The sequence below is a fragment of the Homo sapiens genome, chromosome 10, assembly GCF_000001405.40.
Source record: "Homo sapiens chromosome 10, GRCh38.p14 Primary Assembly".
Lineage (NCBI taxonomy): Eukaryota > Metazoa > Chordata > Mammalia > Primates > Hominidae > Homo > Homo sapiens.
Genome location: NC_000010.11, coordinates 3,799,073 through 3,819,991, shown reverse-complemented (window position 1 = coordinate 3,819,991; position 20,919 = coordinate 3,799,073). Strand labels below are relative to the sequence as shown.

Genomic DNA, 20,919 nt, shown 5'->3' with positions numbered 1-20,919 from the left:
GTGTTCACCAGTATGGAGTGAATTGAAGTGTTTGCCTTAAGTCTGATTGAAATCTTTTTTTGAACCCTTCCATCAGGCCTCCATGCGGTAGGCCTGCCAGAGATAACCAGCCCAGCCAGGCCCTATGATACTCCACAAATTTAGCTTCAAAATATGCAGTCAATATTGCTAAGGGGTCGTAATGAGCTCTAGATTACGTTTATCCTGGAGATAAATGTGCTGGAAAGCCCGCTTCACTCCAAAAGGAGCATAGGCGCTCCCTGTGAAGATGTTAGGAAGCCATGACGTGAGATAAGGATGTGCCAGTATTCTAGAATGTTCCTAGGCGGGGCTATTTGGAATGAGATGGGGTATACCCCTGAGAGCATGAAAGAGTGATCCGAATTGATGGTTGATGGCTATTTCCCTAACCATTGTAATTTCCATTAATCTTCATTCTCTTGCTGAGCAGTGGAGTCTGTTGTTTTTATTTTTTGAGATGGAGTCTCCCTCCATCACCCAGGCTGGAGGGCAGTGGTGCGATCTTGGCTCACTGCAACCTCCACCCTCTAGATTCAAGCAATTCTCCTGCCTCAGCCTCCTGAGTAGCTGGGATTACAGGCATGCGCCACCATGTCTGGCTAATTTTTGTACTTTTACTAGAGACGGGGTTTTACCATGTTGGCCAGGCTGGTCTCGAACTTCTGACCTCAGGTGACCAGCCAGCCTTGGTCTCCCAAAGTGCTGGGATTACAGGCATGAGCCACTGTGCCTGGCTGGAATCTGCTATTTTACAGTATGTTTACAGATGTCCCCAAATTTCTGTGGGGAGCTATGACTTTCTATGTCTAGAAACTTTGCGACCACAGGCACATGGGGATGGCATATGATGGAATCCCTGAGTGTATTTTTCAGCATCAAGGTCTTCATGGATTACGGTGGAATCACACTGCCGGCTGTTTCTCCTCCTTGTCTTGTGGTGGAAGGGAGATCTTCAGAAAGAGAAACAACGTCACAGTGGCCTGGACAGCTTGAGGATCTAATGATTAGAAACCTTAGAGTGGGAATGGGACTGTGCTTAATACAGAAAAAAAAAAAAAAAGAAGAAGAAGAAATGAATGAACACTTCTTTTTTTTTTTTTTTGAGACCGAGTCTTGCTCTGTCGCCCAAGCTGGAGTGCAGTGGCATGATCTCGGCTCACTGCAACCTCCACCTCCCAGGTTCAAGCAATTCTCCTGCCTCAGCCTCCCGAGTAGCTGGGACTATGGGAGCATGCTGCCGTGCCCGGCTAGTTTTTTGTATTTTAGTAGAGATGGAGTTTCACCATGTTGGCTAGATAGGTCTCGAACTCTTGAGCTCAGGCAATCCGCCTGCCTCGGCCTACCAAAGTGCTAGGATTACAGGCGTGAGCCACCGTGGCCAGCCTGAATGAACACTCTTTATGTGTCAGAAGTCCATCCACCCCATTTCCCCTGATGTGATTAGTCCTCTTCACATGCCTATATCAAATTTTCTCATGTAACCCATAAATATATAAGAGAATCGCTTGAACCCGGGAGTCAGAGGTTGCAGTGACCAGAGATCATGCCACTGCACTCCAGCTTGGGTGACAGAATGAGACTCCATCTCAATAAACAAAACAAAACAAAAAGCCAACAACAGCAAAGAAGATGTCAGGAAAGACAAGGAACTGGCTAACAGCTGCCTTATGTTTCAATCTTTCCTTAAAACTCAAGTCTATAGAGGACAGGCGAACAGCTGCCTTATGTTTCAATCTTTCCTTAAAACTCAAGTCTATAGAGGGATGGGCTGAAGCTGGATCTCTGTGCACTGTTGGTGGAAATGTAACAACAGTAGAGCCACTGTAGAAAACAGCATGGAGTTTCCTCAAAAAATTAAAAATAGATTTATCATATGATGCAGCAATTCCACTTCTGGGTGTACATCCAAAAAAATCGAAAGTAGGGTCTTGAAGAGATATTGGTGCACATAAGTCTACAGCAGAATTGTTCGCAATAGCAGAGAGGTAGAAGCAAGCCAAACGCCCTTCAAGAGATGAATGGATAAACAACATGTGGTATATATACACAGTGGAATATTATTTAGTCATGAAAACAAGAAATTCTGACATATGCAATAATATGGATGAATCTTGGGAACATTCCACTAAGTAAAATAAACCCATCACAAAAAGACAAACGCTGTATGATTCTGCTTATATGAGGTACCTAGAATGGTCAAGTCATAGAGACAGAAAGCAGGATGGTGGTTGTCAGGGGAGAGGAAATGGGGAGTTACTGTTTAATGGGTATGGAATTTCAGTTTTACAAGGTGAAAAGAGTTATGCAGAGGGAGGGTGTCGGTGGTTACACAACACTGCGGATGTATTAAATACCCCTGAACTGTACACTTAAAGGCGATAAGACAGTACATTTTGTGTTAGGTGTATGTTACCACAATAAAAGATAATAATTTTTATTAAAAAAAAAAAAGCTTTAAAGAAAACCCCCAGAAACTCAGGTCGAAAACTGGACAAGTAACTGAGCCTTCAGGAATAAAATACTTGTGGATGTATGTGTAAAAAGGAGTGAGGCTAGTAAATTCTACTTCAGTGTTCATCTCCCAGTAGAAAAGTGACTCTAGGGCTGTCACTGAAATGTTCTCTAAAGCTAATCCATGAGAAAAGTAATTTATGTTTACCGTCAAAGCCTCCTACATAAAGCTGAATTGTAATTAGCAAATACTGACCCCCCAACCTGACACATGTGTCATATCAAGATGCAGCACCTGCCAGTCCAACAGCCCCAAGTGGACAATTTCCATGGCTCATAACAACAGGCTCTGATTATTTCAGTGCCGGTATGCAGTGCTTACAGGCAGTTTCTGTACAGCAAGCATTTGACGAAAGCTTAAGTCAAAAGTGTGCAAGGAATTCCGCTGAGTAGAAGTGGAAGTTGGTTCATAGACAAGACAGACCAGGCATCGTGGAGCACTAGGCAGGTCATTGCACTTTTTGAGCTTCAGTGTCTGTTCATGGGAAACAGAATAATCTGTACAACCCTGAGTTGGAGTGAGAATCATAGAGATAACATAGTTTTCGAGTTCTTTGTAATCAATGAAGTGATATCAATGCCTCATTATTCTGTGAGCAGAATTTCTACGGGCATGTTGACATAAGAACACATCTCCACACACTAATGTCAAGTTGGTCACTTAAAAAAACATGTAGTTTAATTGGGAAAGTGCATAACATAATATTCTTCACAACTACTTAAAAAGTACCAAATTATTTGATAATTCTCCCACTGGGACGCAGGGATCTATGTTTTTTTTTTTTTTTTTTTTTTTTGCTTTGACCCTGGCTGAATGTGTGTCTGCTTCAACCAACAGATTATGTTGGATGTGACACTGTAGGTCTTCCAATAGGAGGTCAGAAAAAGCTGTGCAGCCCTTATCCCATACATGATATGCTTGAGATGTTTGCTCGGGCAAAAGCTAGCAGCATGTAATAAGTCCAATGACCTTGAGAGCACCTTTCTGGGAGGTTGCTGTAGGTGCTCCAGTCAACAGCCCCAGCTGAGCTCCAGCCAACAGGCTGCATCAGATGCCCAGCCTGTGTCTGAGCCACAGTCCAGCCTTCAGATGACAACCGCCCTGGCTGATACCTCACTGCAATTGCATGACAGACCCCAGCTAAGAACCGTGCACTTGAGTCTTTCCCATGGTTCTGACCCACCAAATCATAAGAAAAAATAGAATTGTTGCCTTAAGTTACTAAATTTAAGGGATAATGTGTCATATGGTGTCTTTGGTCTGCTATAACAAAATATCATAAACCAGGTAGCTGATAGGCAGCAGAAATTTATTTATCCCAGTTCCAGAGGCTAAGGAGTCCACGATGAAGACACTGGCAGGTTCTGTGTGGTGAGGGCTGAATTTCTGGCTCATAGATGGCTCCTTCTCACTGTGTCCTTATATGGTGGAAAGGGTGAGGATGTCCCCCGACCAATGTTTTAGGAGGGCACTTATTCCATTCATGAGCACTCCACCCTCAAGTCCTCCTCACCTTCCAAAGGCCCCACCTCCTAATACGATCACCTTGGGGGTTAGGATTTCAACATAAGAATTTTGAAGGGGACGTAGACACTCAGACCATAGCTCAAAGCAATAGTGACTAGCATGGGTTAGCATCATAAACATAAAAAAACAAGAGAGTGCAGCAAACATCTTTCCTTAACTTAGGTTCTTCCAGATGCCAGTGGGAAAAGGGTACAGATAACATCCAGCTTCTTGGGATTCCTTTTAAAGGAAATGTGGAAATATGGAAGAAAAAAAGCAAAGGTAACAGATTCAGTGCTATTCCTAGAACATGCTGCTATAACCCCAGCTTTAATTCCACACCCACATGTCTTAGAGCATCACCTCGGATGATGATGCTCTAAAAAATAAAATCGATAGCCCATGGATTGAACTACTTCTGGATCACCTTGGAGATCACCTGTCAAGGTGATCTGTTGTGTGGTTGGGTTTTCCTTCTTGTCCCTCTGTTAGTTTTGGGTTGCACCCTGATGAAGGTGGAATAGCACTAAGTCCTTTAAACTGTCTGAGTGTGTAGGAGCAGATGCCATGTCACTTACACAGGTGTGCCTTTCACCATGCATCTCGCACTGCACTGACGTGAAGAAGCAAGAATTCAAAAAACAGAGTAGTTGGTTTCAGGGAGTCGAGATCACGCCACTACACTCCAGCCTGGGTGACAGAAATAGACTCCTTCTCAAAAAAAAACCAACAACAAACAACAACAACAAACAAAAAAACAAAAAACAGACTAGTAGATTCTTTTCAAATAGCTTTTTTTTTTGCTCTGTGTATTTGCACAGCCAAAAAAAGAAAGCAAAAGAAACACCTCCATTCACTCGTTGCACGCGTGACTATCTTGCAGCAATAGAAAAGTCCTACAAGGGACTTCTCAAAACACATCCTAGTCTGCTAAAACATTCTACACCAAAAACCACATCAAAAAATATCCTAGGGGCCGGGCGCAGTGGCTCACACCTGTAATCTCAGCACTTTGGGAGGTGGAGGCTGGTGGATTTCTTGAGGTCAGAAGTTTGAGACCAGCCTGGCCAACATGGCGAAACCCCATCTCTACTAAAAATACAAAAATTATCCAGGCATGGTGGCAGATGCCTATAATCCCAGCTAGCTACTTGGGAGGCTGAGGCAGGAGAATCACTTCAATCCGGGAGGCGGAGGTTGCAGTGAGCCGAGATAGCTCTGCTGCACTCCAGCCTGGGCAACACAGCGAGACTCCGTCTCAAAAATAAATAAATAAATAAATAAATAAATAAATAATAAATAAACAGACTATACTTACCCTGTGGATTGAACTACTTCTGGATCATCCAAGAGTGTTTGCATTCAGGATCCTCGAATGTTCTGTGCATGAAAAATGAATCTAGTCATTGTGTTTTAAGTGCTTCAGTGAATCTGGCCAACGAGACAAAGTCAAGTGGCCAGAGCTTGTGTCATTTAAGAAAAAGCAGGTGACCAAGGCTCCCCTTCGGGGAGTGCCCCATATGTCCTGGCAGGGCTGGAGGGGAGGGGAGGAAACCATCAGCGACAGAGACAACGGGCTGTGGAAACCAGGCCGCTGGCCCTGGGAGTCAGCTCCCTTGAGCTTGAATTCTGATTTTTGGACTTTACCAGCTGTGTGATTTGGGGAAGATTTCCTAACTTCTCTAAGTGTTGGTTTCCCTCACATATAAATCAGAAATAATAACAGATTTGAGAGGAACATATTTTAATTTCAACAGCAGCAATTTCTCTCCAACCTCATGAGTCACCAGAGGACTTTGTGTGGCTTGATCATTGTGGTGTGCGTTCTTGTAGTGGCTTAAGCCTTAGAACAAACGCTTACTCCTCAAATGCCGGCAGATTTGTAAAATCAACGCCCTGTGTCTACTCCAAAATGCAGTTGATGTGAATGCAAACTGATGTCACTTTTAAAGCAAATTTGAGAAAATATACAGAAAGCCTTAAAAACGTATGTGTTCTGTCTTCCAGCATTTCTAATCCCAGCCTTCCCCATGAGCAATGGGGATAGTCACTATAAACCGGGTATGCATTCATACATTGTTTTCATACAATTATGTAGACCTTACAATTAAAGAAATAGATATTAATTCATTGATATAGATAATATACAGGCTACATTCTTAGAAGAATTAAAACAGTATGATAGACACCATTCTACCTTGATAAATTAAAGATGTGTGTGACTGTGAAAATAGACAGCTAGATGCCCCGTGAGCACCCCAGGTGTCCCGGCAGGGACTGGAGGGGAGGAAAACATCAGAGACAGAGATGACGAGCTATGGAAACCAGGTCCCTGGCCTTGGGATTCAACTCCCTGAAGCTTGAATTCTGATTTTGGAATTTACCAGCTGTGCGATTTGGGGGAAGATTTCCTAACTTCTCTACATGTGGGTTTCCCTCACATACAAATCTGAAATAATAACAGATTAGACAGGAAGATATTTAAATTTCAACAGCAGTGATTCAACCTCATTTCTCTCCAACCTTCGGTGTCAATAATGAAGGTATGAGGCATGAGTAAATAAACTGGACACAAAACCACTGATCTAGAAGCCTCTGTTGAAAACTCTCCTGACAGTGACCTACACAACGGCCATGTGACAACACAACAGAACCTGAGTGTTAACAAGCAGAACCCAGAACCCAGTGTCCTTTGGGATCTAGGGTTATGCTGTTACCTTCATCTGCAATTTCCCTTAGAAGAGGAGTCAGTGTACCTTCATTTGTATTAATAGAATTTATCAAGATACTTTGCACATTGTAAATACTTATGTATTTACTACTTAAAAAAAATCAGTTATCTGCGTTTTGAAGTTGCTTCAGAATTGTTCATGTCCTTTCTTGGTATCCCTGACTTTCTACAACTTGTACTTACTCAGAAATGCTTGGTACATATTTGCTGATATATCAGTGTGGTTGACTTTTTCTTTCCTCTCCAGCTGGGAACAAATTGATAGGTGTATATAGGTTGAGTATTGCTTATCCAAAATGCTTGGCACCCAAGTGTTTCAGATTTCAGATTTTTTTGGATTTGGGAATATTTACATCATAAACGTACCATTTGAGCATTCCAAATCTGAAAATCCAAAGCCCGAAATGCTCCAATGAGCATTTCTTTTGAGCATCATGTCGGCACTCAAAGTGTTTCAGATTTTGGAGCATTTTTTATTTCATAGTTTTGGATTTGAGATGCCTAACCTGTACTATCTTCTAATTATTATCATAAACAGGTGAATGAAGCTCTCAAAAGTCTGCCATACATATTGACTAAGAAGGCCCAAGCCAATGGCCTTTGTGACCGGAATTTCAGCACGGTTTATTTCTACATTAAGGAGAAGAACTTGAATTACCAGTAATTTTTTTTTAAGTCCTGCCTCCTTCCAGAATTTGAAGAATACAACGAGAGTTTCTTTCTTTCTTTCTTCTTTCTTTTTTTTTTTTTTTTTTACAAAGAAGTGTGTGGTCTGTAAGCTGCACTCTTTTAACAAGGGCTGAGCCCCAAGGAGCCCTTGGATGCATCCCACGTGATTTAGAGGAGGAAATTGGTCGCGGTCTTTGGAGCAGCCATGCCCGTGAGGCCCGGAGATGGGGCAGGATCACCTTCAGAGGGAGCAGCTCCCTGGCGGGCATGACCACCACAACTAGGGGAAATGTCAGCAGAGAAGATAAGTTGAGGACTCAGTGCAGAACAGCTTAGGGAGCCAAGAAAGCTGTCAGTGGATGGTGGAGGGAGGGTTGTGGTCTTTGGGGGGCTGGTTAAAGACTTAAATCCCCGAGATTTCCACGGGAACTGTGGCCGAGGCATTCCCTCCAGTGCCCACACTGCACTTGGAAGCTTCTCCCCACTAGGCAAGCGGAAGTTGTCCTGAGTGAGAGGGTGATGAGCTGAGTTAGGAAACTGATTCCTAAATACTCAGAGTCCCCTCCTCTGTTCTACATAGGCATCTCTGAATAGATGATTTTTGACATTTGACAAAATTGATGGCAGAGAGACAGGAGCTGAGTGATTGGTGCAGCGTTTCTCTGCACCCAAAACGTCATAGTACATGTGTCCTGAAATGTGTGGGCATCTCATCCACAGGGAAACGTTCGAAGTCACAGCTGCACCTATGCCTTTTATAGAATGACTTTCTACCCCAGCCCCTGCAGGTTAGCAAGCCTTCTGGAAACTAACTCTGACACCGCACCATTTTAGAGAATGTTTTTCACCTCTTAATAATAATCATAGTAACTCTCTCATGGGGCCCTTCCCCACACAGTTCTGCATGCTGAGTTCACTGAAATGGTCTGGCCCTGTCACTGCAGGTCATGGTATTTTCCTGCTAGGAGTTTCGGTTTCTGTTACAGACTGTGTGTGCCTGAGGTTTGCTTCTCTTGGCTGCTCTTCCACAGTGGAATGTTCTTTTTGAAATCGATGACTTTCAAGGTGATCATTACGTGCCAGAGACCCCTGTGAGCTCCTTCAGAACACCAAATTTGGACTCTCCCCAGCTCCCGAGCTGGCTGTCAAGGGTGTGAGCTGACAGTTGAGATGATTAAGCCAACTGACATCATGCCAGGAAATGCCACAATTTAGAAATTCATGTCAATGCCCACTCCTCATTCTATGAGGAAGGCCATGTGCAGTTTGCCAGAAATACTATTGAGAGGCACTAAATAACTAGCACTGATGAGTCTCTATTAAAATAAGATAACTTACTATACATTTCTTAACATATTTATGTTTACACAGGAAAAGCAAAACCATTTGACATTAGTTAAGACTTTAATTTTACTCTTTGAGCAAAGCAAGCTATATAACTAAGCTAAAAGGAAGGCAAAGACAATTTGCAAATATAAAATTGCTTTAAGGAGTCAACGTAGAGAATGATGCTATTAAGATTATCATCAGAATTCAATTACAATTTCACTCATTTTTAGTTATGAAGAAGGAACACATCCAGAAGTGCTGTGCTCGCCAACTGTTTAATATTAATTAGTGAAAACGGTGTTTCCTGATTTAGCCATGAAAGTTAGTAAAGCATTTCATTTCAAATAAATTTTTATTGAAAGCAAATTTTAAAACTACCTGGGGTTGTGTTCAGCAAGGCTTGGGAATTTGAACTTTTTCACATGTGAAAGTTTAAACCTTTTTCTTTTCCCTGTTGTGTGCAAAAATCTCCTTTTGTTTGTCCTCCTGTGGAAATCGTTACTTTCACCCATATATGGCTCCAAAAATATAAACCATCTTAGAGAGGCTGTTGAAATTATTCACTCTTGGCCTAGAGCTAATTGTGGCTTTTCACTCCTAACAGTATCTTATGAGAAAGTTGTAAGTGAAATTAGGGTCAAAATGCACATATGAAAGCCGTGTAGCATTCTCAGAAAAACCACACATGGGCTGTTTTTTCTGTTGTTTTTTTTTTTTTTTTTTTTTGAATATCTGTTTATCAAAAAGCTGCCCATGGTGATTCAGAGCCACATTTTTCCTCTGTGTGTATATACTGGAGAACTTTGACCACGCTTGCTGATTTCAAAGCAAGGCAATATCTTTTCAATGACATCAGCTTCCACTCCCTGTACCGGGAACTCACCGTTCTCTGAACTGAAAGTTGGGAGCTGGTGCCAAAGGTTGTCTCACCTGTGACTGCATTTCCTGTAAGCCCAGTTCACCCTGGCGTGGGCCTGGCCGATTCAGATAATGACACACACCTCTCCAGTTCTCACAAGCAACAGCCCCAAGACTAACTCTTCAGTCATCTCCAGACTATGACCCAGGCCATGGAGAGCAGCCACACCTGGAGAGGAGCCTGCCCTTGCTCTCCTGGGCTGTGCTGTCACTGGCAGTGAGAGTAGAACTGTCTTCCCTTCAGAATCACTGAATGATCAATAAAAAACTCTCAGCAGGGCGCAGTGGCTCACGCCTGTAATCCCAGCACTTTGGGAGGCCGAGGCGGGTGGATCACAAGGTCAGGAGATTGAGACCATCCTGGCTAACACGGTGAAACCCCGTCGCTACTAAAAATACAAAAAATTAGCCGAGTGTGGTGGCAGATTCCTGTAGTCCCAGCTACTCAGGAGGCTGAGGCAGGAGAATGGCGTGAACCCGGCAGGCGGAGCTTGCAGTGATCCCAGATCGCGCCACTGCACTCCAGCCTGGGCGACAGAGGGAGACTCCGTCTCAAAAAAAAAAAAACAACACTCTGACCCTTGTGGGCAGGAAGTGAGCCTTATAGGTTAACACGTGTGTGTGCCACAGCCAGAAGCCCCCGTGCCGACCCCTCTTCATGACATGGTTGGGGCTGCAGCTCCTAGGGACACAAACACATGAGATTCGGGGCCACAGGAGACCCCTACAGTGAAATGACAAAATGCCTCCCTGTGCAGCTCAGGCAGTGGACACCGTGTGATAAGAAATGGAAATAAAACCACCGTGTTTTTTTCTGTCCTGTAGCAGGAGGGTAGGTGCCTGCAAGCTTGTGCATTTCAGAAAGGGTGAATGACAGTGGATTCAAATTATCTCAAGGTGTTAATCCCCCATTTACATTGTGCTTCTACTGTATTGACAGACTCCTCTAGTAAGTATAAGGAAAAATTATCTCCTGGGATTCAAAGGACCAGCCTGCTCAGAAAACGGAGGAGATAAAGAATTACACACAGACACAGACAGATACACATACAAACACACACAGACCATACACACATACACACATGTAGATATGCAGGCAGACACACAGAGAGACTCACAGACACACATGCGTACACATAGACACACAGACACACATACAAACACACACAGACCATACACACATGCATACATGCACATATGCAGCAGACACACAGAGAGACCCACAGAAACACATGAATACACATAGACACAAAGACACACATACAAACACACACAGACCATACACACATACACACATGCAGATATGCAGGCAGACACACAGAGAGACGCCTACAGAGAGACTCACAGACACACATGTGTATACACAGACACACAGACATATACAAACGCACACAGAGCATACACACACACACGCAGATATGCAGGCAGACACACAAAGAGACTCACAGACATACATGTATACATACAGACACACATATACACATACATGCACACAGAGACACACAGAGACACACACGGACATACACATATATACACATGTACATACACAGATATACATACACACGTATACACATGCAGATATATAGGCAGACACATGGAGAGACACACACAGACACACATACATACACAGACATACACGCATGTACACACAGACACTGGGATATATAAGTACATATAGACACTGTAGAATGATCTTAACCATTCCTCTCTTCCTCCAGTAACTCACATTTCTAGGTGACTCTGATTTTCTTTAGCTTTAAACGAAAAAGCAAAATGCTTTCTATAATACCTCTTTGTTTGAAAGTATATTTTTAAAAAGATTCTGAATGGAAGATATTTTTTTCAAGTCCTCTCATCTTTTACTTTTCCGCTGGTGATATCCTCACTGAGTCCATTTGGACAAAGACCGTGGAGAAGCCATTGGGCGTGACACCCGGCGTGGAGCCTGCCCTTTCAGAGCAGGTCAGAGCCAAAATAGACAGCAAAGGAGAACTAAATCCAGGTTGAACAATGCTGGCCCAAAAATAGCAACAGCGTTTATGAGCACAGCAGCAGGAAAGGCTGCTAATCATTTGCCAGGATCTTTTATTTGGGTTTGTCACTATTGAGCGACACTGGGGACTTGAGGCCCCTGTCGAGCACACAAGTCCAGAATTCCAAATAAGAGACTCTAATAATAATATCTGGTGCAGAACCGTCCTTCCATAGAGAACTAAGGAGCCAGCGCCTCCCGTGCTCCCCAGGAGCTGGCAGGAGGGTTTCCTGAGCATCTGCTCTGCAGGGGCATCCCACCAGGCTCTGGCATGAATCCTCCATTCACCCTCACAGCTCCTGTTCGTAGCTTTCAGTGCTCCATGCTACCAATGAGGAAACTGAGGCCCAGAGAGTAAGACGGCCCAAGGCCACGCAGCTGGAAAGCTCTTCCTGTCACACCACGGATCTCGAGTGTTCTGTGCAGTAGGGAAACCTTAGACACTCTTCACTGCAGAGGGTGGTGCAGCCGAAAGTGTAGATCGCAGGGTAACTCTCCCAGAGCACAGCCACCGAGTGCAGGAGGCATGCAGAAGGGACGGAGAAGCATCCCCTCAGGGATGGGTGGACAGAAGTGGCTCTCCCAGGTGGCCTGATCTCTGTGGAAGGCAACACTCTCATCAGCAAAGGCAGCCAGCAGGACAGTCAGTCCACATAAACAACCAGCCAGAAGGAGAGAAGTGACTTTACAGCTCTTGACCGCACTGCGGGCTGGGATGCAGACGGATACGGCTGGAGCTATGGGATGTTATAGGGACGCAGAGCTAAGTAAGTCTGCAGGGGGCTTGAGGTTTGGCAATTCACAGCCAAGATTCCAAACCAAGGGAGGCTGCCTGGAGGGATGAGGTCTTAAAATGGGAAGTGAAAGCAGTGTGCAGGCATCCATCAATCTATGGCAGGAGGATTATTCTCCTGAAGCACAGAGCAGACTGGCAGAGAGAGGGCCTGGAAGGGAGGACCAGCTAGCTGGAGACAACTGCAGAACGCAATTATCGGTCTGATTTGAACTGAAGCAGGAAATGGCAACCCTAGTTGATATCTAGCCACAGACATTTGATGAAACAAAGCAATTCAGGAGTAGACTCTGCATTTCTCGTGATCTTCATGGCACCCAGAGACCCTAATTAGTTCTAATTGGTAGGGAAGGATCAAGTCATTCTGAACGGATGGAAACCCCAACGTCAGCCTGGGTCCTCTTTGGCATGCTCACATTGGGACTGACCCAGGGCCACAGAGAAGCAGATTGCAAGCTCATTCCCTGAGGGTGGTGCTTCCTCCAATACTTGCAACTCTCTCCTTGGGAACATCAGCTTGAGCAGCAAACAGGGCATTTGGAAAGTTGTCAGCAATCACATAGCAGCATTATCTTCAACAGGTTTATGTAACTGAGTTTCAAGTAAAGCAGGCTGACCACATGGGAGTGTTGGAACTACTCACAGGTCCACAGGACAGTGATGCATGAGGCCGGTGGTGATGGCTTCACTGATTCAGCTGCAGTCACACATAGTTTATAGAGAAGGCAACCCTGGGCTACGACAACAGGAAAACAGGGCCGTGCCCATCTTATTCATTCTTTATAACCAACGGCAAATATTTACTTAGCAATCATACAACGCCCATCACCAGATTAGACACTTATGTGGAACTTAGAATTGTACTGAATGCAAATAAGATGTTAATTATTACAACTGAATGATGCCTTTATAGTTAGACTCTAGATGCATTTTTAAGACACACTTGAGGGAGAAACATGGCCATAATGTCATTCACTATGAGGATTTTGAAAGAGAAATTGTTAGGACCCATATGCTTCCATATAAGCAACAGGATTTTAAAATTCGGGCAAAACCATGACTCGGTTTTGCTCTAAGATTCCTTTTCATGGCAGGAAATTCCCCTTCCTTCTGATAGGATGTTGTTTCCTTCTGGCTCTAAAAGGAATGTGACACCCAATTATTTGCCCAGTGGCTTCTTTCAGGACTTGGAAGGTCCCTGAAATGCCTCTCATTCTACTGAGAATCTGACCCAAACCACATGAACCTCAGAGACAGCCTGGGATGGTGTTTCAGAGGTGGTCAGACCGGAGGCCCCAGCCCCCTTCCTCCCAAACCCTCCCTCCAGGTGTGTCTGCAGAGAGCCAGCTGATGTCTTCCGGCCGATGTCACCAGGTGCAGGGTCTCGAGTCTGCAGCTGCTGAGCTGGAGTTATTTGTAAAAAATGGTAGCAGCAAGACAATAGATAGACATCTTGTCCTGAAGGCAGCAGGGCAATGACTCACGCGGATGAATCATTTTAAATTAGTCCAGAGGGTCTCGGGGGAACCAAGTTCTAAATTCAGGAAACATCAGGCTCTGACCAAGCAAAGACTGCCAACTCAATTTCATGATTCTAGAAAAAGAATTAAGAGAGTTTTTCGCTAGAAGAAAGCATAGAGAACATGTTATTCAATGGCATAATTCTGTAGATGTGAAAACAGAAGTCCAAGATCCAAAAGTCACTTAGCAAAGCCAGACAAAACTGCAGGTCTTCTGATTCTCAGCTTGGGAATTCTCTCTGCCATGCCATTGGGGCGCACTGCTCACTGTTTGGAAAACTACCGCACAAGCGTGTGAGAGCTTTGGGGTGACATGAGCAAATTATTAATTCCCCAGAGAAAACTGAGGCATTATTTTATGTAGCTAGGCAAGCATTACCCTTCCATTAGGGAAGCATTGGTTACAGCATAAATAATAAACAAGGCCACAGCCGGAGCCAGAACTGCTCACCAAAAGTTTCTTTTTTGGTATGAAAACTATGAGTGAATTTTCCCTAAGAACTTTCTGGCAACATGTACAAATAAAGCCACATCCACGGTGACAAATTGTGCTGGTTAGAGTTTAGCAGATGACACTCTTGTTATTGAAACAGGAACTGACTCAGCCTCAGCAGCTACAGATCATATATTTTATTCCGTTGTGTTGTCTCATTTGAAAAAAAACCTATCACATGGCAACACTGTTTGTTTTCTAAATAATACATTTTCTTCAGAGAAACATGTAAAATACAGATAAAGCCTTTGAGATCTTAATGAACGTTTTCTAGGAACCAGGAGATAATTTATCAGTTAATACGCCAATATTTAAATACTGCAAAATATGTTTTCACAAATATAATAAAATCAAATGAGTATTTTTCAATGAAAGTAAATACATGTTTAATGTTTTTGAAGGGCATAGATTCTAGTGTTTGAATCTGGTTGTAAAACCGTTTATAACACTGAATAGTAGCATTACTGCTATTAACTAAAAATGGATTTTTTTAAACACATTATAATGTACTTTTTAAGGATTTTATTAACTTCAGAAATTTTGTTCATTATGACCAGGGCTGGGCTGAAGTTTGTCTTTGTCTATTAAGCTTTGACATCTACACAGTGCAAATTGATAATCTAAAAAATGTATCTCAGGACAAGTGCTTAAAACACTTAAAGTTTCAGGTATCCACCCAAGGCGATTTGCCTGCTGCATACTGAGAATCTGTTTACAGTTCACGGGCTACTCCAGAACAATGCCTGTGCTGCTGAACAGTGCTGAAAATACATAGAGAAAGATCATTTAAATTCTATGATGAGATATTCACTAGTACACCCACCCAGACTTCAATGATTCAAATAGCAAGGCTTTCCTGTCTCCGTAGTTAGACGTGTGACATTTCTTGCAATCATGGGCTTCCCTAGTGAGATCAGTCTCTGCCTGAGGTACCGTTTATTTTGTAACGGGGTCTCCCACTGCTGGAAACTATTGCAAGACCACGAAAGATCAGAGACCCAGGGAGGTGATGGCTGTGGCCTCTACGCACAGAAGCCACAGAGGCCTCCCTGAGGCTGAGACTGTGTCAGAACCAGGCCCAAACCCACAGCACATCTTCCTTGCCCGCTGGCTTCTCTCTGTAAACACAACTCCCTTTCTGTGGCTCAATTATCTGCAGTATACGCAGCCATTAGAAAGACATGGACTTTTTTTTTGTTTTTCTGCTTTTCCCTCCATAAATCTCAGAATGAATAGTTTCCATCTGTAATTGTTGGTTTTATATTTTTAAATAGTGAACTAAGAAACATAATGTCTCATTATCTCTGAAATGATTCGAGCATTTGCTGCGTGCAACTCTGTCGATAACAGCACAATACAGTCATTTTACTTTGTCTGGGGGAGGGGAGACGCTTCAAGAAAGTTCCTTTTTTTTCCTCTACTAACTCTGTATTGCTAGTTATCTGCTGTTTCCACACTCTGCATAGATCTAATTTAGGTATTTAAAAAAAAAAAAAAGATACTCCAGACATTATCGTGGATTGGCAGTTTAGAAAACACATGTGGCTTCAAGCCTTCTTTGCAGATCTGAAGCAAATTATTTCTGTAAATGTGTGAAAAGTTGACTTTCCTAAAAAATGGCTTGTGGTGCATATGTGCTCAAATCTATTCAGAAAAACCACAGCGCCTGACATTTCTTCTCCATTATTTTCCTTGAGACATGAAGAGTCTTGTATAATTTTAGTTTTTTTTTAATGACAGATTCCGTCAATTTGCTTTTTAGAGTAACGTGTTTTCTTGTGCTCTGTCATGTAAGATTTTACCTGAAAGCACTGAGGAAGCAACTCTCTGCCCTGCCATCTGGTGAGGGCTTCTCGACTCATGAGAGTGACTCGGGATTTCTCACCAGAGGCTGGAGTCACTGTGGGAATGCGTTCATTTCACATACGGCCAGTCGCACCTTCACATTTTCACACTACTATGACAACATGCTACTTTAAAGCACCTTTTTTTTTTTTCTTGGTCAGGCAGTTCTGGGATTTAACTCCTAAGCACATGCTGCATTTGAACAAGATAACCTTTTAAAATAGTGTTATAAATAGCACATCACCAAGCGGATTTTCTTTCAATCGCACGGTATCTGAGGACAGGAAATTCTAGCCAAATGTTTACTGTCTACTCAGTCCCCAAAGTTAATCATTAAAACTAAGACCTGGCATGTTTTTATTAATCTGTTAATCACAACAATACTTTATTTGAAAATAAATCTAAAGCTTTTAGGTTGGCGCAAAAGTATTTGAGGTTTTTGCGTTAAAAGTAATGGCAATTATCAACCTGATAACTCATGCAGGGTATAATTTGCCTTCAGCCAGCTGACAAACTCCAGCATCTCATGAACTAGTGGCCACAGTAGCCACGAGACCCTCTTGGGTATGAACGAGTGTGCTTGTGTTTGTGCCTGTGTGTCTGTGTCTGTGTGTGTTTGTGTCTGTGTGTGTGTGTCTCTGTGTGTCTGTATATATTAGTGTTTGTGTGTGTCTCTGTGTGTGAATGTGTGTGTCTGTGTGTGTCTATGTATATGTGCGAACATGTGTATGTGTGCCTCTGTGTGTATGTGTTAGTGTGTGTATGTGTCTGTGTGTCTCTGTGTGGGTAAGTTTGTGTGTGTTGTGTCTTTTGTGTGTGTTGTGTCTGTGTATGTGTGTGAATATATATGTGTGTGCCCGTGTGTATGTGTCAGTGTGTGTATGTGTCTGTGTGTCTCTGTGTAAGTCTGTGTATGATGTGTGTGTTGTGTCTGTTGTGTGTGTCGTGCCTATGTATGTGTATGAACGTGTGTATGTGTGCCTCTCTGTGTATGTGTTAGTGTGTGTATGTGTCTGTGTGTCTCTAAGTTTGTGTGTGTCTGTGTATGTGTGTGAACATGTATATGTGTGCCTCTGTGTGTGTCAGGGTGTGTATGTGTCTGTGTGTGTCTCTGTGTGTTTGTGTGTGTTGTGTCTGTTGTGGGTCTGTGTGAGTATGTGTCTCCACTCCCAACCAAGACGTTTTCTAGGGGAGGGGGAACCAAGCCGAGAAGTCTGTGAAGATAGTCTATGTTTGAGACCAGGTGGGAAGAACAAGTGCCGAGTCAAAAGGAGGGGTTGAGCGGAACTTCGGGGACACAATCCAGCTCACTGTCCCCCACCCAAGACCAGGAAGTCACCGCTGTTGAGAGGGACATTTTGGTAGATCCCCAGGACTTGTGGGCAACTCAAGGACAATATGTGACCCGGTGGATGGATAACCCAGTAGAGATGGACATGTAGAAAACAGAACCAAACCAAGTGCCCGTCCTCCAAGTATTCGCCCCAGCTCTTCACCCTCATGGCACCCAAGGGAAGAAAAACCCACCGCTGTCAGCAGGTGACACCACCACCCAGTTTCACATCTGCAGGACCTTCCAGAGGAGCCATTTGTCACCATGATGTGAAAAAACAACAGAAAAGAGCATTTACATTTACTAGAGCTTCTATGATGTGCTGAGCGTGCATCATTTCCCTTAATCCTAAACCAATCCTGCCAGGTCGGCACGTCTCTAGAAGAAATTAAGAGTTGGGGAACATGTCTGCCCTCGGGCGGCTGGTCAAATGGCAAAGATCAGCCTCAAGTCCAGGCTGGCCTTCAAAAGCAGGTCCTGTTTTGATGGCACCGAATGACATTGAATAATGACATCAGTTTAATGCCTGTTATGAGAGGTGATGGATCCCAGGCCCCACAGGCGAGCTTCCAAGTTCTATAACAGTCAATAGGGAGTGGCAAAAACTCCTCAAGCCCTTTGCTATCAATTCTATTTCTGGGGCATGATGCCTGTAACTCTCATCTCAGGCCATCTTTCCCCCAGAGCCCTTGAAACGTGTCAAGGGACCCTTGAGCTGGGAAGGAGACACACGATTCCCCATCAGTTTCAACTTTGCAACTCAGATGTCGCTTTGAGATTTGGAAATGACCATGTGGACATCAGGCTGTTCTGGGCTTTTGTGAGAACCACTGGACTCCAAACTGTGAAGATTTCCTTGTTTGTGTCCAGCCACAATGAGACAAGGGAGGACCACCGAGTGAATCAGAAAAGACCTGAGCATACACTTCCACAAAACCTGCACTAGGCTAGCTTGTGTTTGGTCCACACACCAGAGCTTTGGCACCACAGAGACAAATACTGGGGGACATTCCAGGAGGAGGTGCTGGCCTCTCTGGAATTCTGTTTCTAGGAGAGCTTCCAGCAGGATTTGGGGTGTTCCAGGCTCTTTATCTGATCAACAAAACTGTAAAACGGGGATGTTGTAGTGGCCGTAGGATTGTAAAATATACGAGAGCTGAAGGGGCTTTTGAAGTGGTAGAAACTGCTCTGAGCAGTGGCTGACCAGCTGTCCTCGTCAGAGTCAAGTACTCTTCCAAGGCACTGGAATAGAAGGCCCTTCCCATGCACGCACAAATGCTGTGTTTTAAAAAACTTATTTCTTCCAAGAAGTTCTACGTAGGTCCTCATGCCCTCCCTGCAGTTTATATTTGAGGTTACCTACAAACAAATGTTATCTAATAAAAAAATTGCAATGTGTATATAAAGAAATACCTCAATGGATATAAAATCCCTAAATATCTTTTAGAATTAAGACTAAAAGAGAAACTGGTTATCACTTTGATAACTACATCCTGCCCATGCTTCCTGGCAGATAACGCTACACCTCACTTTCAGCCATCACCTCACTTTTCATTTTTAACTCAAAAAAAATCTGATCGACACATAATAATTGCACATATTTGTGGGGCACATAGTGATGTATTCATACATACGATGTAAAGTGAGAGTATCAGGATAGTTCGCATATCCATCATCTCAAACCTTTATCATGTATTTGTGTTGAGAATATTCAGTATCCTCCTCCTAGCTATTTGAAACTGTAGAATATATAGCTGTATAGTTTCAAGTCCTCCTAGCTATTTGAAGCTATGTAATATGTACTTATATAGTTAACTATATATGTATAGTTATTATACAATAATAACTATATAATGTGATCAACTATAGTCATCTAGTACAAAACACTAAAGCTTATCTAGCTGTAATTTCGTATCTTTTAACAAACCTTCCTTGTCCTTCCCCTCCCCATCCCTTCTCAGCTTCTGGCATCCTCTTTTCTTCTTCTTACTTCAATGAGACCAACTTTTATTTAGCTTCCACATATGAATGAGACTATGAGGTGTTTAACTTTCTGTTTCTGGCTTATTTCACTTAACATAATGTCCTCTAGTTCCATCCATGCTGCCATGAATGACAGGATTTAATTCTTTCTTATGGCTACATAATATTCCTTTGTGCGTATGTACTACATTTTCTTTACCCACTCATCTGTTGTCAGATACCCCGGTTGATTCCGTATCTTGGCTGTTATGAATATTGCTGCAATAAACATGGAAGATGCAGGTGTCTCTTGGACATATTGATTTTCTTTCCTTTAGATAAATGCCCAGTATTGGGTCATATTTCTATGTGTGTTTCTAAAGATCCTTCGTACTGTTCTCCACAGTGGCTGTACTAGTTTACATTCTCATCAACAGTGTACAAGAGTTCCCTTTTCTCTGCATCCTAGCCAGAATTTGTGATTTTTGTCTTTTTGATAACAGCCACACTAACCAGGGTGAGATGATACCTCACTGTGGTTTTGATTCACCTTTTCCTGATTATTAGTGATGATGAGCATTTTTTCATATGTTTCTTTTTCATGTATGTGTTTTCCTTTGAGAAATGTCTGTTCAGGTCAATTGCTCATTTTTTAACTGGATTGCTTATTCTTTTGCTGTTGAGTTCCTTGTATATGCTGGATATTACGCCCCTGTCAGATGAATAGATTGCAATTATTTTCTCACTTTCTTTAGGTTGTCTTTTCACTCTGTTGGTTGTGTTCTTTGCTGTGTGGAAGCTTTGTGGTTTGGTGTAATCCCAGTTGTTTATTTTTGCTTTTGTTGTCTGTGCTTTTGCGATTCATAAAAATCTTACGATCACAAAAATTTATAAGATCTTTCCCTAGACCAATGTATTCAAGCATTTCCTCTGTTTTCTTCTATTAGTTTTATAGTTTTGGGTCTTACATTTAGATCTTTGATTCACTTTGAGCTGATTTTTGTACAGGGTGAGAGGTGGGGATATAGTTTCATTCTCCGACACCTCTTCATAATAAAAACTCTCAATAAACTAATTGAAGGAAAGTACCTCAACATAAGAAAAGCCATATATGTCAGACCCACAGCTAACATCATACTGAATGAGGAAGAGATAAAAGCTTTTCCTCTAAGAGCTGGGAAACGATAAGGATACCCACTCTCACCACTCTTATTGACCATAGTCCTGGAAGTCCTAACCACAGCAATCAGGCAAG

At 42.9% G+C, this 20,919-nt stretch overlaps 1 long non-coding RNA gene across 1 annotated transcript, besides 15 other annotated features; it reads right to left on the bottom strand.

Annotated features, from left to right (window-relative positions):
- Positions 7,948–8,107: an enhancer, noted in NCBI's record as "active region_2915". NCBI's record gives its function as "activates an Ori minimal core promoter by ATAC-STARR-seq in GM12878 lymphoblastoid cells {active_cell/tissue: GM12878}" and the evidence as "EXISTENCE:reporter gene assay evidence [ECO:0000049][PMID:35858748]".
- Positions 8,321–10,597: an enhancer, noted in NCBI's record as "VISTA enhancer hs1837". NCBI's record gives its function as "enhancer in: limb[3/11]" and the evidence as "EXISTENCE:transgenic organism evidence [ECO:0001131][PMID:17130149]".
- Positions 8,408–8,657: an enhancer, noted in NCBI's record as "active region_2914". NCBI's record gives its function as "activates an Ori minimal core promoter by ATAC-STARR-seq in GM12878 lymphoblastoid cells {active_cell/tissue: GM12878}" and the evidence as "EXISTENCE:reporter gene assay evidence [ECO:0000049][PMID:35858748]".
- Positions 8,945–10,144: an enhancer, noted in NCBI's record as "BRD4-independent group 4 enhancer chr10:3852040-3853239 (GRCh37/hg19 assembly coordinates)". NCBI's record gives its function as "activates an origin of replication core promoter dependent on BRD2, P300/CBP, MED14 and CDK7 cofactors, and independent of BRD4, by STARR-seq in HCT116 cells {active_cell/tissue: HCT116}" and the evidence as "EXISTENCE:reporter gene assay evidence [ECO:0000049][PMID:35650434]".
- Positions 9,532–9,877: a transcriptional cis regulatory region, noted in NCBI's record as "candidate enhancer chr10.146 targeted for multiplex CRISPR interference". NCBI's record gives its function as "positively regulates KLF6 gene expression with high confidence in K562 erythroleukemia cells {active_cell/tissue: K562}" and the evidence as "EXISTENCE:mutant phenotype evidence [ECO:0000015][PMID:30612741]".
- Positions 10,272–10,597: an enhancer, noted in NCBI's record as "KLF6-II DHS fragment used in reporter constructs". NCBI's record gives its function as "activates the KLF6 promoter by reporter assays in K562 erythroleukemia cells {active_cell/tissue: K562}" and the evidence as "EXISTENCE:reporter gene assay evidence [ECO:0000049][PMID:23985037]".
- Positions 11,475–13,274, bottom strand: LOC105376364 (uncharacterized). The gene is made up of 2 exons (XR_930580.3): positions 13,155–13,274; positions 11,475–12,316 (listed from the first exon to the last, which is right to left on the bottom strand). It is a non-coding gene; the product is annotated as an uncharacterized LOC105376364 (long non-coding RNA).
- Positions 13,121–13,415: a silencer, noted in NCBI's record as "tiled region #2914; HepG2 Repressive DNase matched - State 7:EnhWF". NCBI's record gives its function as "represses a minimal TATA promoter and a strong SV40 promoter by Sharpr-MPRA in HepG2 cells {active_cell/tissue: HepG2}" and the evidence as "EXISTENCE:reporter gene assay evidence [ECO:0000049][PMID:27701403]".
- Positions 13,121–13,821: a biological region, named in NCBI's record as "H3K27ac-H3K4me1 hESC enhancer GRCh37_chr10:3848363-3848864".
- Positions 13,320–13,821: an enhancer, noted in NCBI's record as "H3K27ac-H3K4me1 hESC enhancer chr10:3848363-3848864 (GRCh37/hg19 assembly coordinates)". NCBI's record gives its function as "activates a minimal SCP1, AML or CMV promoter by ChIP-STARR-seq in naive H9 embryonic stem cells {active_cell/tissue: H9 hESC(naive)}" and the evidence as "EXISTENCE:reporter gene assay evidence [ECO:0000049][PMID:30033119]".
- Positions 13,806–14,073: a transcriptional cis regulatory region, noted in NCBI's record as "candidate enhancer chr10.145 targeted for multiplex CRISPR interference". NCBI's record gives its function as "positively regulates KLF6 gene expression with high confidence in K562 cells {active_cell/tissue: K562}" and the evidence as "EXISTENCE:mutant phenotype evidence [ECO:0000015][PMID:30612741]".
- Positions 13,806–14,323: a biological region, named in NCBI's record as "H3K27ac-H3K4me1 hESC enhancer GRCh37_chr10:3847861-3848362". NCBI's record gives its function as "regulatory_interactions: KLF6".
- Positions 13,822–14,323: an enhancer, noted in NCBI's record as "H3K27ac-H3K4me1 hESC enhancer chr10:3847861-3848362 (GRCh37/hg19 assembly coordinates)". NCBI's record gives its function as "activates a minimal SCP1, AML or CMV promoter by ChIP-STARR-seq in naive H9 embryonic stem cells {active_cell/tissue: H9 hESC(naive)}" and the evidence as "EXISTENCE:reporter gene assay evidence [ECO:0000049][PMID:30033119]".
- Positions 15,852–16,163: an enhancer, noted in NCBI's record as "KLF6-III DHS fragment used in reporter constructs". NCBI's record gives its function as "activates the KLF6 promoter by reporter assays in K562 erythroleukemia cells {active_cell/tissue: K562}" and the evidence as "EXISTENCE:reporter gene assay evidence [ECO:0000049][PMID:23985037]".
- Positions 16,260–16,571: an enhancer, noted in NCBI's record as "KLF6-IV DHS fragment used in reporter constructs". NCBI's record gives its function as "activates the minP and KLF6 promoters by reporter assays in K562 erythroleukemia cells {active_cell/tissue: K562}" and the evidence as "EXISTENCE:reporter gene assay evidence [ECO:0000049][PMID:23985037]".
- Positions 16,325–16,492: a transcriptional cis regulatory region, noted in NCBI's record as "candidate enhancer chr10.143 targeted for multiplex CRISPR interference". NCBI's record gives its function as "positively regulates KLF6 gene expression with high confidence in K562 cells {active_cell/tissue: K562}" and the evidence as "EXISTENCE:mutant phenotype evidence [ECO:0000015][PMID:30612741]".